Source organism: Homo sapiens, chromosome 2 (genome assembly GCF_000001405.40).
Source record: "Homo sapiens chromosome 2, GRCh38.p14 Primary Assembly".
NCBI classification, from domain to species: domain Eukaryota; kingdom Metazoa; phylum Chordata; class Mammalia; order Primates; family Hominidae; genus Homo; species Homo sapiens.
Genome location: NC_000002.12, coordinates 53,947,134 through 53,969,555, shown reverse-complemented (window position 1 = coordinate 53,969,555; position 22,422 = coordinate 53,947,134). Strand labels below are relative to the sequence as shown.

At 41.0% G+C, this 22,422-nt stretch overlaps 1 protein-coding gene across 1 annotated transcript in view; it reads left to right on the top strand.

The window, feature by feature from the left end:
• PSME4 (proteasome activator subunit 4) overlaps window positions 1–22,422 on the top strand; it is a 106,925-nt gene that overhangs the window by 1,438 nt on the left and 83,065 nt on the right. The window contains exons 2-3 of the mRNA NM_014614.3: window positions 20,273–20,413; window positions 21,019–21,135. Coding sequence (NP_055429.2) covers window positions 20,273–20,413; window positions 21,019–21,135 — 258 coding nt within the window. The remainder of the gene's footprint in view (window positions 1–20,272; window positions 20,414–21,018; window positions 21,136–22,422) is intronic.

Below are 22,422 nucleotides of genomic sequence, written 5' to 3'. Positions count from 1 at the left end.
CATGGTATGTTCACGCATGTGGGTATGGACGGGTGAACACACAAGACATAACTCACTCATTCAGTGTTTACCCAAAGCTGCTGATTGAACTGAGTGATGACTCAGGGTTTTGTAATAGTTTTGTGTATATTCACTGGATGATTCTCATCTGCCAATTATTAAGGGGCCTCTGACAAATTTCTCATTTCCACTTGAGGGGTGGGTGGGACCTTTTTAATTAAAAAGAAGCAAAACTAAAACATGTAATTTGCCCTCTTCAGAGAGTGATCATAAAATGTCAAGGTTAACAGCTCTCCCCTTGACTAGAGTATAATGAAGTTTTTCGTGTTAGGATCCTTAGGAGAATGGAGGTGAGGGGCGGCAGAAGCAGGAATGCAACAGGGAGAACCACGTTTAGTCAAAAAAGAATATTTTATAAATAGTTAAAATCCAAATGCTTTTTCAAGTGAGACTCCTAGGTTTTTGTGTTGCTCAGGCACAGTAAAAATAGTCACTTTGTTACAGTAATTCCCCATTTTAATCACTTGGATTAGACTTGCCAGAGAATACCTACCATTTTTGGGGACGCAAACAGCTTTTTTTAGTGTACATTATATAAATATGCCATGGTGTGAAGGCATATCTGCTTTGGATTTATAAACCTAGAATCTACCAAGGCATAGTTAAGCATTGTTTTCTAAAGTATTTATTGTTAACAAGTTTGGTAAATTAGCACTCCGAGTTTTGTTATTGTTTTGGCTTATTAGATAAAAGTTTGTACCTAGAAAGGGCTAAAAATAACAATGGAGCTAATGTTTGGTGTTTAGGGCTGGATTGCAGATAGCTGATGGCTTAATACCCATGAACCCATAACCATTTATAGCTAAATAACCAGCAAGAAATGCTACTGGGTAGAATTTTATTTTGGAATAGTGGTTAGATGCTGGAAACTGATTCTTGATATTGCACTATGAGACATTTTGAATGCGGTGGGACATGTTGTGATCTTGGGTGTGTTTTTTTCCTAAGTCATGTTAAGGTGACCTGTTCATAGTTGTGCTTGTTGTTTTTTAAGCCTTCTGTGTTGCATAAGTGAACATCTGAATAATGCCAAAACGTGTGACGAAAGCTGAGTGGTGATCATATTTAGTACTTTGTAGAATAGAAAGTGGTAATGAAAAGAAAATCTAGTTTCTCCCACTAGCTCTGAGACTGTGGGAAAGTTACTTAATCATGTGTTTCAGTATGCTTGTGCGTGAAATGAGGGGATTGGACTAAATAATTCTTTTTTTTTTTTTTTTTGAGGTGGAGTCTTGCTTTGTTGCCCAGGCTGGAGTGCAGTGGCAGGATCTTGGCCCACTGCAATCCCTGCCTTTCGGGTTCAAGCGATTCTCCTGCCTCAGCCTCCCAAGTAGGTAGGATTATAGGCGAGTGCCACCATGCCTGGCTACTTTTTTTGTATTTTTAGTAGAGACAGGGTTTCACCATGTTGGTCAGGCTGGTCTTGAACTCCTGACCTCAAGCAATCTGCCCACCTCGGCCTCCCAAGGTGCTGGGATTACATGTGTGAGCCACCGCACCCGGCCTGGACTAAATTCTTGAGAAGCATTTCTACTCTGGTATTCTGCAGTTTTATTTTTTTAATCCTGTCAAGCTTCACATCAGTCATTGTGTGTATCTTTCTACAAGAACTGTTTGAATAATTTGTAAAATACTGGAAACAGTTGCATAGATCAAGTACATTCCTAAAGACCAAAGTGTAAATGCAGTTGAGAGTTAGTGGGACTATCTTGCTGATCAGAAATGTGCACCCGTAATCTGGACATCAGAGGTGTGTTTGGGACCAAGTTCTGGTTTGGAAGGTTCTCAGGCTTTACATTTGGTCCCTCTTTTTGACTTTTTTTTTTTTTTTTTTTTTTTTTTTTTTGAGACAATCTCACTCTGTTGCCCAGACACAAGATAGTGTAGTGGCACTATCGTGGCTCACTGCAACCTCCACCTCCACCTCCCTGGTTCAAACGATTCTCCTGCCTCAGCCTCCTGAGTAGCTGGGATTACAGTTGTGCGCTGCCACGCCTGGCTAATTTTTGTATTTTTAGTAGAGACGGGGTTTCACCATTTTGGCAAGGCTGGTCTCGAACCCAGGTGATCTGTGTGCCTCGGCCTCCCAAAGTGCGGGATTACAGGCTGAGCCACCGCCCCAGCCTTCTTTTTGACTTTTTTCTTCATTTTTAGTAGTTCAGTCCATTTAGAAACTTGCAGGTCTGTTTAACATCTCTGAAGAAAGGTTATTTCTATATTTTTAAATACTTGGCCATGTGATAGAGGCTTTCCTGTACAGACAATTTAAAGTACTAGAACTGTCTGGTCAAGAGAGGTTGTGTGATGTAACACATCACAAGGGAAATTTTTAATAAGGGAAGAAACAAATCAGAGAAGTTGAAACAAATTAGAGAAAGTAGGAACAAATTAATGGTCTTTGGACAATGGCAGACAGCTCATGGACACTGTGAGTGAAATATTGGTAGATAACTTGTATGGCCCATGTAGAGAATGAAGGGAGTTGAAGAAAGGTATTCTTAAAACTTGATTTTGTTATGCCTGTAATCCCAGCACTTTGGGAGGCCGAGGCAGACGGATCACGAGGTCAGGAGTTCGAGACCAGCCTGACCAACATGGTGAAACCCCATCTCTACTAAAATTAAGAAAATTAGCCTGGCATGGTGGTGCACGCCTTTAATCCCAGCTACTCAGGAGGCTGAGGCAGGAGAATCGCTTGAATCTGGGAGGTGGAGGTTGCAGTGAGCCAAGCGCCACTCCAGCCTCGGCAAAAGAGCGAGACTCCATCTTAAAAACAACAACAAAGAAAAAAACCCCAAAAAACTTGATTTTGCCCTCTTGCCTTTCTGGACCTTTCATGAGGGGCTGCGGGTGCTCGTTAGAACACCTCAGGTTATCTGTACGTGAGGTGTATCTGGCCTTGCCTCCAACATTATTATCTTTTTTTTTTTTTGGAGACAGAGTAGCTGGGATTATAGGCATGTGCCACGACGCCTGGCTAATTTTTTTGTATTTTTAGTAGAGACAGGGTTTCCCCATGTTGGCCAGGCCAGTCTCAAACTCTTGATCTCAAATGATCTGGCCACCCCGGCCTCCCAAAGTGTTCGGATTATGGGCGTGAGCCACCGTGGCCTGCCTAACATTATTATCCTGGCAAGATTTTAGATTATTAGTGGTTTTTCAAACTTTAAATTAAGTAGTGGAGTGTTTTATTTTTTATTTTTATATTTTTTGAGACAGAGTCTCGCTCTGTCATCCAGGCTGGAGTGCAGTGGCACAATGTCGGCTCACTGCAGCCTCTGCCTCCCAGGTTCAAGCAACCCTCATGTCTCTGCCTCCAAGTAGCTGGGATTACAGGTGAGTACCACCACACTTGACCAATATTTGTATTTTTATTAGAGAGGGGGTTTTGCCATGTTGCCCAGGCTGTCTCAAACTCCTGGCCCCAAATGATCCGCCCAAGATCTCGGCCTCCCAAGGTGCTGGGATTACAGGCGTGAGTCACCATGTAGTGCCAGTAGTGGAGTGTTAAAAAACCAAATTTTGGCTGGGCGTGGCGGCTCACGCCTGTAATCCCAGTACTTTGGGAGGCTGAAGCAGGTGGATCACAAGGTCAGGAGTTCGAGACCAGCCTCACCAACATGGTGAAACCCCGTCTCTGCTGAAAATACAAAAAAAAGTTAGCCGGGCATGATGGCGGGTGCCTGTAGTCCCAGCTACTCGGGGGGCTGAGGCAGAAGAATTGCTTGAACCCGGAAGGCAGAGGCTGGCTGCAGTGAGCTGCGATTGCACCATTGCACTCCAGCCTGGGCGACAGAGCGAGACTCTGACTCAAAAAAAAAAAAACAAAAAAACACACAACCAAAATTTTAAACTTGAAATTGGATTCCTCAGGCAAATTAAAACCCCACTCATTAAAAAAAAAAATACTTCCTTGATAGTAGAACTCTTGAAACCTCCTCAGGGCTCCACAACATACTGCTGGAAAAATCACTTGGATGCGCTGGGTGTGGCGGCTCACGCCTGTAATCCCTGCACTTTGGGAGGCTGAGATTACTTGAGGTCAGGAGTTCCTTGGCCAACATGGTGAAACCCTGTCTCTACTAAAAATACAAAATTTAGGCTGGTATGGTGGCACTCGCCTATAGACTGAGGCAGAAGAATCGCTTGAACCTGGGAGGCAGAGGCTACAGTGAGCCGAGATGGCGCCACTGCACTCCAGGCTAGGCGACAGAGGGAGACTCTTGTCTTACAAAAAAAAAAAAAAAAATCACTTGGCCTTTCTAGTTCTTTGTTCCTTTTAAACTGGTAAACTGGTCTGGAGGAAAGGGCGGGAAAAGGATGGAGAATAAGCGAATGGATTACTGTTTCCTACAACTTATCCCATCCATGATTCGTGTGTGTGTGTGTGTGTCTGTGTGTGTGTGTGTTTAAACAGAATTTTGATTTTAGTGAAGTATGTGGGTTTGGTGTAAGATGAAGCAAATTTAGATTCCCTGTTTGCTACAGTGACATGTTTTGTATTGTTTTATGATTAAGTGACTATATTATAATGTGAAGTCATTTTAATTGCTAATTAAAACTGTGGCACCCTTTAGAATTGAAAGTACAGTTGTTTTATTATTACAAATATTATGCAGCCTTCGTGGATTGATTATCCCAGTTGAAACCACATAATGTATTTGATTAGATTATGTAACCACCAGAAACTTAGGTGTAGTCAAGGTATGAGTTATCAAATACACAAACCTTCTCTTGTGGAAAGTAATAAGTGGCCACAGGAGCACCCACATTCATATCATCCCCGTGTTGGGAAAGAAAGGAAATGCTAACTGCTGAATCTGCATTGTCTGGTATGAGGCACCTAAGAGTATCTAATGTTTGAGTATTGAAATTGAAGTACACAATAAATGCAAGTGGTTTTATTTGTAAATGAATCTTGAAATCTTGACAAGTTACCAAACTCATCAGTGAGAACCAGTTAGAGAGAGTGATAGAAGAGGTTTTACTTTGTTGTTAAGTGATCATTCAAAATGGGAACCAAAATTTCTTTGTAGTGAGAAAGTTGATTTTCCATAAGGGGAAAAAAAAGGAACTGATTTTGGAGAACATGAATTTCTTTGATAAAGTTGTATAATGTAATAGCACAATAAGACATATTTCATATTTGATTTTTTCAAAAATTTTATTTCTGAGAGCAATTTTAGGTTCACAGCAAAATTGAATGGAAAGTATAGAGTTCCTGTATACCCTCTGTCTCTACACATGCATACATTTGATTTTTCATGATGATGTCACACATATACTTTTTTTTCAAAAATATTTGAGGCCCTTACTGTTTTCCAGAGATCTCTCAGTAATTTCTTGAAAACAGCTTGTCGTTTTCTTTTCACTAGTTAATTGGCTATTTCTTCCTGAACATCACTGGCCAATGAGCATATGTGTGTTTCTGATTTGAAGTTTTCTAATATTTAAACTCTTTTCATTACATATTTTTTATTATGAAAAATATCAAATATTCAAAAGACAATATAATGAACCTCATCACCTATCTTCACTTAATTAACTCATGGCCAGTTATGTTCTTTTCATCATCCCCTTTCCCCATTGTTTTTGAAGTATATTATTTATTCATGAATGTTTCCAGTATATATCTTCAAAGGAAAAGGAATTTTTTAAAAAAAGCAATACCAATACTATTATAAAACCTAAAAAAATTAACATCTATTATCACTTTGATCAATCTCATAAGGTTCTGCTTCTTTGCCAAATTTGTGATTTTACTTCTGAGTTTCCATTTCATTTGCATTTTTTTGCCTAAGGTTTACTGTAATCAAATCTCATGGACAGAGATCAAGAAAATAGCTCATTAATGAACATTTTCACATTATGACATCTTTCATTTCTGCCTTTTACCTTTGAAGACTTAGACTCAATCCTGGGGTAACAAGTATTCTCTTAAGTTACCTTCATTTAAAAAATGAAGACACAAGAGGCTCATAGGTTAGTGTACAGTCATGGGTTAATACAGTGTAGTAGAGGCAGACATCAATCTTCTTTGAACACAATTTTTTGAGTGCAATGCGTGGGCTGGGCACTGGTTTTGGCGTTTGGGATGTATCAGCGCAAGTTTTCTGCCCTCTGGAAGTTTCAGTGCGCTCTTTCTTTTTTGTGTGTTTTTTTTTGAAGAGATGGTCTTGGTCTCTTACCCAGGCTGGAATCATAGGGAGTGCAATCATACCCCCCTGTTTTAACCTTGAGCTCCTGGCCTCGAGCGATCCTCCCATCTCAGGCTCCTGGTTAGCTTGGACTACAGACATATACCACCACGCCAAGCTAATTTTTAAAGTTTTTCTTGAGACAAAGTCTCACTATGTTGCTCAGGCTGGCCTTGAACTCTTGGGCTCAAGTGATCCTCCACCTTTGCCTCCTGAAAGTGTTGGGAAAGTGTTGGGATTACATGCGTGAGCCACTGCATATGGTATGTGTCCTTTTTTTTTTTTTTTTGACACTGAGTCTCGCTCTGTTACCCAGGCTGGAGTGCAGTGGCGCGATCTCGGCTCACTGCAGCCTCCACTTCCTGGGTTCAAGTGATTTTCCTGTTTCAGCCTCCTGCGTAGCTGGGACTACAGGTGCAGCCACCATGCCTGGCGAATTTTTCTGTTTTTAATAGAGATGGGGTTTCACCTTATTGGCCAGGATGGTCTCGATCTCCAGACCTCATGATCCGCCTGCCTCAGCCTCCCAAAGTGCTGGGATTACAGGCGTGAGCCACCGTGCCCAGCTGTGTGCTTTATTCAGTGCACATTTTTGTTCATTTAGGACAGACTAGGCCAGGTGGTAACTTCATCAAAAACATTGAAGAAAATAGGAATTCTGAATGTATTATTTGAAAAGAAAATCTCATTCTGACCACTGTGTTTTAATGCCTTACTTTGAGGCACTAAGAAAGGCAGTTAGAAAAAAGAAATGTACCGTTTGATGTTCTGAGATCTGAATGTCACTTAAGAATGGTTTTCCCAAGTGTTCTTTCTGCAGTGTTGTAAAATAAAATTGTATTTGAAATACCTGTTGTTAATTGAAGTGGAGGCAAATTTTTACTGTTTTTTTTTTTTTGGCAAGCTTGTAAATAAGCATATAACTATATAACTTCTAAGAACTGTTTTTCTTATGGAACCTGGGAATTAACTTTTTTCTGCTAAATGAGACTTATTTTTAGAGAATCCCTTTCGCCCCTGTAAAAAGTAGAGGTTCCTCTTCAAAGACTTTCCTCCCCATCTAATTAGGAATAAATAGTAACTTCTCTTACAAGCAAAATTTATTCAAAGACCCTTGCAAACATTCTTAAATATCTGCTAGCCATAATGAAGAAATCAATGTACTTTATGTTCTTAGCTCCCACAATTTAGCCTAAATATTTGCCCTGGCATGCTTATACTGGTCCAAGCAAGCATTAGGTCATAGCCTGTTCCTCTTCCTTATTTGAAGGTGTTTTTATCTTTCTCAGCATTCCACAAGTTACTTCCTCCTTCCTTTGTTCTCTGCCTTTGCCTCTTTTAAAAAGTTCTAAGTTGCTAGCCAATCGGGACAAATACAGAATGTGAGGTCCCGTTCTAGCAAGTGGAAACCGGACACAACAGTAGGGTGGACGCTTCGGGTTATAAATGACCCTGTCTCCTTTGTTGGGTGTACTCTCCTGGCAAAACTGCTGGCGAGTGTACCTTTTCTGCAGAAAGTATAAAAATGGCCTTGCTGAGGAAATTAAATTTATGTTGAAGTGCTGTTTCTTTACAGCAATGGGGAATGAGCATTTCAAACATCCCCCTTCCCCCCCTTATTTTTAGACAGTCTTGCTCTGTCGCCCAGGTTGGAGTGCAGTGGCGCTGTCACAGCTCACTGCAAACTCAACCTCCCAGGCTCAAGCGATCTTCCCATCTCAGCCTCTGGAGTAGCTGGGACCACGGGCATGTATCAGCACACCCAGCTAGGTTTTTATTATTTTATTTTTATTTTTGTAGAGACAGGGTCTCACTATGTTGCCACGGCTGGTCGCAAACTCCTGGGCTCAAATCTTCCTGCCTCGCCCTCCCAAAGTGCTGGGATTACAGGCATAAGCCACTGCACCTAGCGCCTCTTCCCTCCTTTTCAAATACAAAAATCCTAATCTATGTTTCTGTCTAACCTTTGTAGAAAATTAGATCAAAATCTCATTCTATATGAACACCAAACTGAGAGCATGGTAGTAAAAACGGTAAGCAAACAACAACAGCAACAGAAAACCTCTACATTCATTGAGACCTCTATTGGAATGTTAAAAGCAGCACATACTATAAATATTCCCATTTGGAACCTTGAGGTTGACTACTTCTGTATTTGGTTTACACTTAACATTTCTTCTCTCTCTTTCTTTGAGACTGAGTCTTGCTCTGTCACCCAGGCTGGAGTGCAATTGTACCATCTTGCCTCACTGCAACCTCTGCCTCCCAGGTTCAAGCGATTCTCCTGCCTCAGCCTCCTGGGTAGCTAGGATTACAGGCATGCGCCACCATGCCCAGCTAGTTTTGTACTTTTAGTAGAGACTGGGTTTCTCCATGTTGGTCAGGCTGGTCTCGAACTCCTCACCTCACGTGATCCGCCTGCCTTGGCCTCCCAGAGTGCTGGGATTACAGGTATGAGCCACCGCGCCTGGCCAGTCCAGTGGTTTTCAAACCAGGTGATACATCTGTGGAACATAAAAAAAAATTCAAAAGCAACTGGTACCCAGAGCCCCACTGAAGAACCGTTAAGTTATAGCATCTTTCATGTACGTTTATCAGTCTGTCACCATAGCCTTGTGAAGAAAGCCAGATTTTATGGAGATTAAATGACTTCCCCAAGGGACTGACAGAGCAGTTTGAGTTCTTAACAGAGTTGTAGAACCATGCTGTTCCTGCTTACTTGGCTACTGGTTGAAATCAATAAATGTTATATCCAGAGTTGATTATGTTAGTTGCAAAGCAAACTAGAATAGAAACTTACAACATTTTATTCTGTTATTTCTCCTTGCCACCGAAATATGCATTCTTAATCTGCTCCTCTAGCTAGAGCTGTCTCCTGTGCCTTTTTTTTTTTTTTTTTTGAGATGGAGTCTCGCTCTGTTGCCCAGGCTGGAGTACAGCGGCCTGATGTTGGCTCACTGCAACCTCCGCCTCCCAGGTTCAAGTGATCCTCCCACCTCAGCCTCCCAAGAAGCTAGGATTACAGGCGCCCGCCACCATGCCTGGCTGATTTTTGTATTTTTAGTAGAGATGGGTTTCGCCATGTTGGCCAGGCTGGTCTGGATCTCCTGACTTCAAGTGATCCACCTGCCTCAGCCTCCCAAAGTGCTGAGATTACGGGCGTGAGCCACCATGCCTGGCCTCCTATGACTCTTAATTCTGCAGATGGTCAGATTATTTTGACCTCAGGTTGCCTCTTCAGGGTATAACTTAAGTGATGACAGCTTTCTAAACTTTCAAAGTCAATGACCACTTAATATATGATGAAAATTGGGCTAAAAAAATCAATCCACAAAAATCTGTTAATGCTTTATTTTATTTCACTTTTACATGTTTCGTCTTCCAGGTACTTGGAATGTCATATCTGACTGTCTTATTTGATTGCGAGTTGTTGGCCCAAAGGAACTGTTTGAGTCATTATTGTCTTGTATGTGTTGTTTGCTCTAGAAATGCTTTTTGAATATACAGGTAATTGAAAATAGGGGAGGTGAGTTTATGAAAAAACCTTTCCTCTTATTTGTTCACTCAGTGTTTCTGGCAGTGAGAAGCTTTATCTACATTTTTAATATTATATGTAATGATGAAGGACTTAGTCTTGGAATAAAATCACAGTAATTTGTTCCTGATCCCTTAGTTTTCTCTGCTACTTTTACCTCTCTTTTTTGTTATTTCTATATGGTGAAACCTTGGAAAGAGAAGGAAAAGACTGGAACTGATATAGCTATGGTGAAGTGTTTATTTTGGGTGGGCAGGAGTTGAAGTTACTGCCTGAAATTAATTGAGGGGGTCGTTCAGAGATCTCATGGGTCATGGTAGTTTTCCTTGCTGTAAAATATTTGTCATTTAGCCCTAGCTGTCAGGGATTAAGCAGCTTTTTTTCCCCCCTCTTTTTTTTGAGACAGAGTCTCGCTCTGTCACTTAGGCTGTAGTACAGTGGCATGGTCTCAGCTCACTGCAACCTCTGCCTCCTGGGTTCCAGCGATTCTCCTGCCTCAGCCTCCCAAATAGCTGGGACTACAGGTGCACACCACCTGTACATACAAAATAATTAATAAATAAAAAATACAATAATCAGTAAAAAATACAAAATAATTTTTGTATTTTTAGTCAAGATAGGGTTTTGCCATGTTGCCCAGGCTAGCTTCAAACTCCTGGGCTCAAGCAGTCCACCTGCCCTGGCTTCCCAAAGTGCTAGGATTATAAGGTGTGAGCCACCACGCCCAGCTCTTAAGTGGCATTTTAAAAAGTCCTTATTTCTCGCCATTTGTTTAAATATTTTACATTTTAGTAAAGTTTTAACATGTAATTCCTGCATATTTCTCTTTGAGAAATTTTCAATTAATTTTTTTGTTGGTAATTTGAATGGAACAATCTTCCGTCAACACTGTTACTTTTTATCTGGATGCTATACAGGAAGGCTCCTGACTTTTTTTTTTTTTTTAAATATGTATTCAGTAGATTTTAAAGTTTAGTCTAAAAGTGTTTTTTTTTTAAGTTGTTTCAGATGTTTTAGGTATAATCATAGCATTGACACCATACTTTTAGTTCCACCTTACCTGAAATAATTACCCTAATTTTTGTTACCTATTCTTTTGATCTAGATTCAGAATAATGCTGAATCATAATGGTAAGAATAGTCATTATTGTCCTGAATCTGACTTTAAAGGAAGCGCCTCTTGGGAGAGGAATGCCTTAAAGTCTGATATTGACTGTTTAATTAAGACTCGTGTGTGTTTTCAAATGGATTTGGTTTCTCTTGGTTATAATCCCATTAGTATTTTCTGATTTACACTGTATCATAATCAGATTGGACAGAATGATGTCTATGTGTTAAAAATAAGTGAGGTTTTTTTTGTGGCTTAGTTTATGACAAGTTTTTGTTTTTTTGTTTTTTTGTTTTTTTTGAGATGGAGTCTCACTCTGTGGCCCAGCCTGGAGTGTAGCGGTGCTATCTCAGCTCACTGCAATCTCCACCTCCTGGGTTTAAGCAGTTCTCCCACCTCAGCCTCCCGAGTAGCTGGGATTACAGGTGCACGCCACCATGCCCGGCTAATTTTTTTTTTTTTTTTTTTTTTTGACAGAGTCTTTCTCTGTCGCCCAGGCTGGAGTGCAGTGGCGCGATCTTGCCTCACTGCAACCTCTGCCTCCCTAGTTCAAGCAATTCTCCTGGCCCAGCCTCCTGAGTAGCTGGGACTACAGGCGTGTGCCACCATGCCCAGCTAATTTTTGTATTTTTAGTAGAGACAGGGTTTCTCTGTGTTGGTCAGGCTGGTCTCGAACTCCTGACCTCAAGTGAGCCACTGCTCCTGGCCAACAAGTTTTTATGTGTGTTCCACAGGAGATTGAAAAGTGAACATAGTTTTTGTAAGCTCAAAGTGTTCGTATTTGTCTCACACAATATTTTGTTACCATTATTAAGCACATAAAGTTTTGCTTTCTGAAGACTGTGCAATAAGTGGTACTATATACTGTCATCAGGAGATGCATAATGTCTTACTTCTTGATGATATTAGTAGCCATTTTACATCGCTAGGGATTCCAAAATGGTGATACTTAAACATTTTACTCTGCTTATTTGGTGGGAATCTCTAAAGTAGGGGTCTCCATCTCCCAGGCCACGTACTGTTAATCTGCTGTGGCCTGTAAGTAACTGTACTGAGCCGAATTTATAGCCCCTCCCCATTGCTCACATTACTGCCTGAGCTCTGCCTCCTCTCAGATCAGTGGTGGCATTAGATTGTCTTAGGAGCACAATCCCTGTTGTGAACTGCACATGAGAGGGATCTAGGTTGTGTGCTCTTTGTGAGAATCTTGTGCCTGATGATCTGTCACTGTCTCCCATCACCCCCCAATGGGACCATCTAAGTTGCAGGAAAATAAGCTCAGGACTCCCACTGATTCTACATTATGATGAGTTATGTAATTGTTTCATTATATATTACAATTTAATAATAATAGAAATAAAGTGCACAATAAATATAATGTCCTCAAATCATCCCAAAACTACCCCCGCCATCTGTGGAAAAATTGTTTTCCACAAAACCGGTCCTTTCTGTGTGTTAAAATTAAGTGCCAAAAAGTTTGGGGGACCACTGCTCTAAAGAACTTTTCCTCATGAAATGTTGTTTATCCTGAGTGCCTGTAGGAGTGGCAGGGTAAAGCTTAATTGTTCCCCTTCATTTACCAGTTTTTAAGTTAATGACTTGGTTCTCTGGCATTCCTGAAAGATGTGGCCTGTGAGGTTTTGTTTTGTTTTGATATTTTTCATGAACTCAATGGTTTTAAACATATCAGTTGCAATTACCTTGATTCACACCCTTTTCATTTTTGATTGGTGAGAAACCTATTCAAGTTGACTCTTAAGACGTTATTTAAGTAGCCTTTGATAAGGGACATTTAAATTAAGATAATACACAGAAATGCAGAAATATTGATTATCTGATTTTAAACATTGTATTTTACATTAGAACTTTGATATTAATTTTTTCATTGTTAATTCTAATTATAAAAATAATTCCTATTAGCCAGGCATGGTGGTGGGCTCCTGTAATTCCAGCTACTTGGGAGACTGAGGCAGGAGAATCGCTTAAACTTGGGAGGCGGACGTTGCAGTGAGCTGAGATTGGGCCACTGCACTCCAGCTTGGGCAACAGAGAGAGACTCCATCTCAAAAAATATATAGAATAATAATTCCTGTTTACTTTTTTAAATTATTATTATTTTTATTTTTTGAGACAGTTTTGCTCTTGTCACCCAGGCTGGAGTGCAGTGGCGTGATCTCGGCTCACTACAACCTCCGCCTCCCGGGTTCAAGCGATTCTCCTGCCTCAGCCCCCCGAGTAGCTGGGATTATAGGCACTAACCACCATGCCCTGCTAATTTTTTGTATTTTTAGTAGAGACGGGGTTTCACCGTGTTGACGAGGCTGGTCTCAAACTCCTGACCTCAGGTGATCCTCCTGCTTTGGCCTCCTAAAGTGCTGGGATTATAGTCCTGAGCCACCAGGCCCAGCCTATTTACTTTTAGAAAGTGAAAAAACTGAAAATGTGTTTTGAAAAACACAAAAAAGTTTCTCAGTTTTACCACCCAGAGGTAGGTTTTTTGTTTTGTTTTGTTTTGTTTTTAATTTTTAAATTTTTTGTAGAGATGTGGTTTTGCTATGTTGCCCAGGCTGGTCTCAAGCTCCTGGGCTCAAGCGATCTCCTGGGCTTAAACCATCTGCCTGTCTCAGTCTCTCAAAGTGCTGGGATTATAGGCGTGAGCCACTGTACCTGGCTCCCAGAGAGACTATTTTATGGTATCTACTTTTTTCTTTTTTTGTTTTGTTTTGGTTTTTTTGGGGACTAAGGTCTCACTGTTGCCTAGGTTGGAGTGCAGTGGCACGATCTTGGCACGTTGCAACCTTCGCTTCCCAGGCCCCACCAATCTTCCCACCTCAGCCTCCTGAGTTACTGGGACTACAGACATGCGCTATCACGCCCGGCTAATTTTTGTATATCTTGTAGGCACGAGGTCTCGCAGTGTTGCCCAGGCTGGTCTCAAACTCCTGGACTCGAGCAGTCTGCTTGCCGTGGCCTCCGAAAGTGCTTGGATTGCAGACATGAGCCACTGTGCTGGGCCTGTTTTGTTTCTTTTTCCTTGAATGATTATGTATTTTTATTTAGTTATATATATTTGTTTTGAGCCTTGCTTTATAAATATTATATTCCGTTCCATATTCTACTAAAGGTTATTTGAAAACACAATTTTAAGTGACTGCATTATAGTCTAAAGCATGGGTGTCTAATCTTTTAGCCTCCCTGGCCCACATTGGAAGAATTGTCTTGGGCCACACATAAAATATACTAACGCTAATGATAGCTGATGAGCTTTAAAAAATTGCAGAAAACCTAAATGTTTTAAGAAAGTTATGCATTTGTGTTGGGCCACATTCAAAACAATCCTGGGCCATCGGTTGGACAAGCTTAGTCTAAAGGAATAAGCCACACTTTAACAAGCCATTCTCATACTAGACTTATAGATTTTTTTTCAGGAAATTTTGGAAATTACATATGTGCATTTGGCCTTTTAAAAATTTTTTATTTTTGGAGAGTCAGGGTCTTGCTCTGTTACCCAGGCTGAAATGCAGTGGCAAGATCATGGCTCACTGCAACCTCAACCTCCCAGACTCAGATGCTCCTCGTGTTTCAGCCTCCCAAGTAGCTGGGACTACAGGCACGTGCCATCACACCTGGCGATTTTTTTTATAGAGACGGGGTCTCCTTGTTACCCAGGCTAGTCTTGAATTCCTGTCCTCAAGTGATCTTTCCTCCTCAACTTCCCAGAGTGCTAGGATTATAGACGTGAGCCACAGTGTCTCGCTCATTTTGGCATTTTGACTTTGATATTCTGAATTATTATTATTATTGTTATTTTTTTTTTTGAGACAGGTCTCTCTGTTACCCAGGCTGGAGTGCAGTGGCACAGTCTTGGCTCACTGCAACCTCCACATCCAGGGTTCAACTGATTCTTCTGCCTCAGCCTCCCAAGTAGCTGGGACTACAGACGCCTGCCACTACGCCCAGCTAATTTTTGTATTTTTTAGAAGAGGTGGAGGTTTTGCCATGTTGGCCAGGCTGATCTTGAACTCCTGACCTCAAGTGATCTGCCTGCCTCGGCCTCCCAAAGTGCTGGGACTACAAGTGTGACTCACTACACCTGACCTGAATTATTTACTCAAGATAGTATTGCTAGATGAAGGATTTTTATTAATTTGTTATTATTACATTTTTAAATATGTATAATAGAGATGAGGGTCTCACTCTGTTGCCCAGGCTGGTCTTGAACTCCTGGATTCAAGTGATTCTCCTGCTTCTGCCTTCCAAAATGCTGGGATTTCAGGCATGAGCCATGGCGCCTAGCCCACTGTCTTTCTTTCTTTCCTTTTTTTTTTGAAATGGAGTCTCCCTCTGTTGCCCAGGCTGGAGTGCAGCAGCGAGATCTTGGCTCACTGCAACCTCTGCCTCCCGGGTTCAAGCGATTCTCCTGCCTCAGACTCCCGAGTAGCTGGGTTTGCAGGCGCGTGCCGCCACACCCGGCTAATTTTTGTATTTTTAGTAGAGATGGGGTTTCACTGTGTTGGTCAGGCTGATCTCGAACTCCTGACCTCGTGATCTGCCTGCCTCGGCCTCCCCAAGTGCTGGGATTACAGGCGTGAGCCACCGCGCCCGGCCAGCCCACTGTCTTTCTTATGATTAAAAATTAAATCATTTGATTAATACACTGTAGGGCTGTGAGGAGGAAGCGGCTGGAAATGCTATTGTATTATCTTTTACTCTTTTTTGTTCTTCCCCTGTGGGAGGATGGAACAAAATGACTTGTTATCCATATATTCTGGATGGTTGAAAGAAATATTCTATATCAATCACGTTCAATCGTGACTGTTTACCAGGGTTTTCAGTTATTTTGGGACACCTAATAGTAATCATTAGTCCTAAAACCTAATGTGAAAATTAACTGGAAAGAGGGAATGCACCATCTGTAGATACAGTCTAAAGTAGGGTTTTTGAACTTAAGCTTACAGGAAAGTCAAACCAGAGTAGTCTAAAAAATGAAGATTGGTAGTCTGCACTCTAGCACTCCAGGAATTTATTTTTCATTCACCTTAAAAAAAAAAAAAGACAAACAGCTTTACTGAGATTTAATATTCCTAGGATTTTTGGATCCCAAGAATAATGCATTTTAAAAGTTACCCTGCATAGTTCTTCTTTTTCTTTTTTTTTTTTTTTTTTTTAATAGACATGGGGTTTCACCATGTTGCTCAGGTTGGTCTTGAACTCCTGATCTCAATTGATCCTCCTGCCTTCGCCTCCCAAAGTGCTGGGATTACAGGTATACTACGCCCAGCCTTTTTGCCCATTTTTAATTGGATTATGTCTTTTTCTTACTAGTAATTTGGATATGAGTTCTTTGTCAAATATATGTATTTCTGGGCTTTTTACTTTTAATGGTGTCTTATAGTGACTAGAAGTTATTTATGATAAAGACCAATTTATTAATTTTCTTTTTATAGTTAGAACTTTTGTGCCCTTTTAAAACAAATCTCTTGCACCATATTTTGATAAATGCTGAGATAAGAACCACTTGCTGGTTGGCGAGGAACTGGGGGAAATAGAAGCTTTCTGAGGAGTCCCTCCAGAATCTTTAGATTTGTCAGCAGCCCTAGGCTTTCCAGGAATCCCCCTGTTGGTCTCTTTTTATAGTATTAAAATTTGAGCTTTGTTAATTTTATGTCCCTAACTAATGTTAAATATACAGTTGTCTGTCTACTGCAATGAAAACAATGGGCTGTAGCTAAGTTACTTCAGTGGCTTGGAGCAGGGGGTCCCCCAACCCCCAGCTCAGGGACTGGTATGGGTCTGTGGCCTGTTAGGAACCGGGCTGCACAGCAGGAGGTGAGCAGTGGACAGGCGATTGGGCATTACCGCCTGAGGTCCACCTCCTGTCAGATTAGCCATGATGTTAGATTCTCATAGGAGCTCATATCCTATTGTGAACTGCCCGTGCAAGGGATCTAGGTTGTGTACTCCTTATGAGATTCTCCCTGGTACCAAAAAGGTTGGGGACTGCTGGCTTAGAGTACAGTGTTTCTCTAGTTTTTCTGCAGAAGTATCCTAACCACAGGGGAGAATGAATGCATGACTCCAGGGGCATCTGGAATCTTTCTGTTTGTTTGTTTGAGACTGAGTCTCTCTCTGTTGCCCAGGCTGGAGAACTCTAGCACCATCTCGGCTCAGCTGCAACCTCCGCCTCCCAGGTTCAAACAATTCTCCTGCCTCAGCCTCCCGAGTAGCTGGGATTAGAGGCGCGCACCACCATGCCCAGCTAATTTTTGTATTTTTAGTAGAGACAGGGGTTTCATCATGTTGGCCAGGATGGTCTCCATCTCTTGACCTCGTGATCCGTCTGCCTCGGCCTCCCAAAGTGCTGGGATTACAGGTGTGTAGTAGAGACAAAGTTTCACCATATTGGCCAGGCTGGTGGTCTCGAACTCCTAATCTCACGTGATCTGCCCACCTCGGCCTCCCAAAGTGCTGGGATTACAGGCATGAGCCACCACGCCTGGCTGGTATCTGGAATATTGACAAGGCCTGAAGCAGCCACTGAAAGCAGGGAATTTTTCTTTGATGTCTTCTGTCTTTATCTTAAAAATGTGTTCCAGTTTTTAGGGAGATGTTTGTGTTCATTTAAAATAACATTTTAATGATTCTAGCTTTTGCTCCTAAATTTAGAGTGAAATTGAGGGAGGCATCAGAAGGCTCTATCATTATGCTTATTCAACAGCCCAAAATAATAATATATTTGGGTGTAGGATCTTTTGTCTTCACTAATCTACGTGCGTTACCATTTTAGGGTGTTTAAGAAACTTTCATAATAATTATTTTGAGTATCCCTTATTTGAAATTCTGGGACCAGAAATGTTTAGGATTTTGGATTTTTTGAGGTTTTATAATATCTGCATTATGTTCTTACCGATTGAGCATCTCAAATCCAAAAATTAGAAATTGGAAAACTCCATGAGCATTTCCTTTGAGTGTCATGTTGTTGCTCAAAAAGTTTTGGATTTTGGAGGGTTTCGGATTTTCGGATTAAAGGTATTCAACCTGTACTGGCAGAACCAAAACAAGATCTCACGTCTCATTGCTCCTCCCTCTATATTTGCTGGTCTCATAGTACTAATGTGAGATCATGGGATTATACCTTGAAATGACAGAAAAGAGCTGAATAAATTCAGACCAGCTTGAGAAAATAAAAATGAGTTAATGAACCAAGAATTTTGAAGAATTTCTGGAAGATAAAAAAGCAGTTAGATGCCCTAACTTTAGAAATTAAATGTAAGTGCTGGGCGCAGTGGCTCACGCCTATAATCCCAGCACTTTGGGAGGCCAAGGCAGGGGGGATCTCAAGGTCAGGAGTTTGAGACCAGCCTGGCCAACATGGTGAAACCCCATCTCTACTAAAATTACAAAAATTAGCCGGGCGTGGTGTTGGGCGCCTGTAATCCCAGCTACTGGGGAGGCTGAGGCAGGAGAATTGCTTGAATCCAGGAGGCAGAGGTTGCGGTGAGCTGAGATCAGGCCACTGCACTCCAGCCTGGGTGACAGAGCAAGACTGTGTCTTGGGGGGAAAAAAAAGAAGTTAAATGTAAGTTTTATTTGATCTCAGGTACTGGGGGAGTGTTAAAGATCTTACGAGGAATACTAATGCTCTTTTTCCCGTTGACTTACATATTTAATAAAATGACCCTCCTCCAGGGGTTTTATGATTTTAAGTCTACAGTAATTTATTTGGATCAGTTACTTCTGAATTCTTAAATATACTCTGATTTGTTGTTCTTGGGTTTTGGGACACCTTTTTCTTTTCTTTTTTTTTTTTTTTTGAGACGGAGTTTCTCTCTTGTTGCCCAGGCTGGAGTGCAACGGCACACTCTTGGCTCACCGCAACCTCCGCCTCCCAGGTTCAAGCAATTCTCCTGCCTCAGCCTCCCTAGTAGCTGGGATTACAGGCATGTGCCACCACGCCTGGCTAATTTTGTGTTTTTAGTAGAGACGGGGTTTCTCCATGTTGGTCAGGCTGGTCTCAAACTCCTGACCTCAGGTAATCCACCCACGTCGGCCTCCCAAAGTGCTGGGATTATAGGCGTGAGCCACTGTGCCTGGCCATTGGGACACCTTTTTCTTAAATTTGCTTAAAGTTAATGCTTTTGATTACATTGTTTATAGTTAGAAATTAAAAATGTAATTTTGGATAAAATATTAAATTATTTTTGGTATAACCTAATTGTATTGTAATTATAAGTTAACTGTTAGAAACAAATAGTACAAGTTATGTAACTTGTTTACAATAAGAGAGCAGTGTTTTAATTGGTCATTAGATATTGATGATAACTCAGTTACCATAAGATACTTATTTGGCAATCTCCTTTTTTTTTTTTTGGAAGACAAGATCTCACTCTGTCGCCTAGGCTAGATGGAGCATAGTGGCGCCATCCCAGCTCACTGCCCCCTTGACTTCCTGGGCTCCAGTGATCCTCCCACCTCAGCCCCCGACCCGAGTAACTGGGACCACAGGCGCACGCCATCATGCCTGGCTAATATTTTGTATTTGTTGTAGAGACTGGGTTTTGCTACGTTGCCCAGGCTGGTCTTGAACTCCTGGGTTCAAGTGATCCTCCTGCTTTAGCCTCTCAAAGTGCAGGGATTACAGGCATGAACTACTTTGCCTGGCCTGGTTATGTCTCAATTGAAGTACAGAACAATTTTTTACTGCATAATAGTGAGAATAGATATAAAATAGTTAACCATCAAAGACATTTGAAATTGTTACCACACCTATTTTTAAAAATTGTCATTAAAAATAAGTATCAAGTTTATCTTAATTTTTAACTGTACAATACAGTATTGTTAACCATATATACATTGTTGTACAACTTCTTTTATTTTACTTGACTGAAACTATACCCATTGAATAACAGCTCTCCATTTCCTGGTCCTTGCAACCCCTGGCAGCAAGTATTCTACTTTCTGTTTCTATGAGTTTGATTACTTTGGATACCTACACAGTATTTGTCTTTTGTGACTGGCGTATTTCACTTAACATTCATACATGCTGTAGCTTATGACTGGATTTCCTTCTTTTTTAAGACTGAATCATCCTCATCACTGGTTCTAGCTGAAGTATGATGGGATCATTCTTCCTGGCAAATAAATTCCTGTTTCTATCCAGAAAACCAATAAAAAGTTTTCCATGAAATGTTAAAAAAAAAAAAAAAAGACAATAATCCATTGTGTTGTATATGCCACATTTTCCTTATCCATTCATCCTTCTGTGGCCATTCAGGTTGCATCTACATCTTGGCTTCTATGGATAATGCTGCATTGAACATGGATGTGTCATCATACCTATTTTTAAAGGGTATATCTATTTTTCTCTTGCAGATATATTCGACTTTATGGGAGAAAATTTAGCAAAGAAGATCATGTTCTTTTTATTAAGTTATTGTATGAGCTGGTATCAATTCCAAAACTGGAAATCAGCATGATGCAGGGATTTGCCCGCCTTTTGATCAACTTGTTAAAGTAAGTCTTTTTCCAGAGGTTTCTGTTAAGGTTTGTTTGTTTCTTCAGGGTTTTAGGGAATGAGGACTAAGTGTTTTTGGTAAGAAGACCAAGTCTCAAATTGCCAATTTGGAAAATGATTGCAAAAAACATTATCTTAATTTTCATCAAATGTGTCAGTTAACCTTTTAGTTAAAATTCCATCTCTTCCATGACATGGTCTCTTCTCTAGCACCCATTGAACTTCCCCTTTTATAGGTTGTTAAGTCCCTTGAGAAGACAAGACAAAGATCATGGATTCTTTTGCTTACCCTGAAGCATCCAACTCAATGCTGGAAACATTAAATATTCCATAGTGTGGGAAAACATGAAATTCATCCACAATAATGGCGACACAAATTTAAATGCCCTCTTTTATCTGCTGCTCTTTGAGGTTTGAGCAGCAGCAAGAATTGGGTGCATTATTCTTCTTAATACTATGTTCTGCTAGTGAGTGGCCATGGATGGGGAAAGCAAAACCCATGGTGATGAGCAGCAATGTTTAACTGTCCCTGTGTAGTATTTGTGGTATACACACATCTGTGCACATATGCATACATAGGTATTTATTTTATTTTACTTTTTAGGAAAAAGGAACTTCTTTCAAGAGCTGATTTGGAGTTACCCTGGAGACCACTTTATGACATGGTAGAAAGAATATTATATTCCAAGACAGAGCACCTAGGATTAAATTGGTTTCCTAAGTAAGTATTTCCATTTAAAGCACTTATTTGGGAGTACTTGGGGTTTTTTAGGGGGGTGATCATGATTGAAAAATATTGAGTTGTTTGAAAGAAACAAGCAGATATTTTAATGTGCCTATTTCTGTGTAATTTGACTCCTGAAACAATTCATTGCCCTCTATAAACTGTATCTGAGGCTGCATCTCTCTTGCAGATCATTGACTTCTTGCACCTACATCCTGCCTCTTTGATAGCTAATTTTTGGTTTTATATTTTATTCTGAGTTTATATAATAAAATATCATCTGCCCTTTTTTGGTTAATAGTGATTTCATACTAGACTGACAGGTATCATTTCTGTCCAGTTGTGGTCTAGCTTTAAATTTTCTCAGTTTTAGCACGTTTGGCTTATCATTCTTTTTTTTCTGAGATGGTGTCTCACTCTGACGCTCAGGCTGGAGTGCAGTGGTGTGATCTCAGCTCACTGCAACCTCCACTTCCCGGGTTCAAGTGATTCGCGTTCCTCAGCCTCCCGAGCAGCTGGGATTACAGGCATGCACCACCATACCCAGCTAATGTTTGTATTTTTAGTAGAGATGGGGTTTCGCCATGTTGGCCAGGCTGGTCTCGAACTCCTGACCTCAGGTGATCTGCCTGCCTTGGCCTCCCAAAGTCCTGGGATTATAGGCATGAGCCACCACGCCTGGCCTCTTCAGTGTTTTTGTTTGTTTTGTTTTGAGATGGAGTCTCGCTCTGTCGCCCAGGCTGGAGTGCAGTGGTGCGATCTCAGCTCACTGCAAGCTCCACCTCCAGGGTTCATGCCGTTCTCCTGCCTCAGCCTCCCGAGTAGCTGGGACTACAGGTGCCCACCACCACGCCCGGCTAATTTTTTTGTGTTTTTAGTAGAGACGGTGTTTCACCATGTTAGCCAAGATGGTCTCTATCTCCTGACCTCGTGATCCCCCTGCCTCAGCCTCCCAAAGTGCTGGGATTACAGGCGTGAGCCACCACCCCCAGCCTGTGTACTCATTTCTTGAAGAGCACCATTCTCTATGCCTGTATTAATTTCCTTTTTCTTTTTTATAAATTAAGTCTTTAAAGACTTCTGCAGTTTTCTCTCTCAGTCTTAGGCATGTCTACATTATTTCATTATGTCTTGTTAAATTCATTTAATCTATGATTAACCCTCAGCCTTTACTTAGGTCAACAGTCTTTGTCCCTTACCATAGAATTTTTTGAAAATGAGTGCAGATGGCAAATGTGAAATGGTGTAAGTGGAAGAGGTAAAACATGATCTTCAACTTAGGTC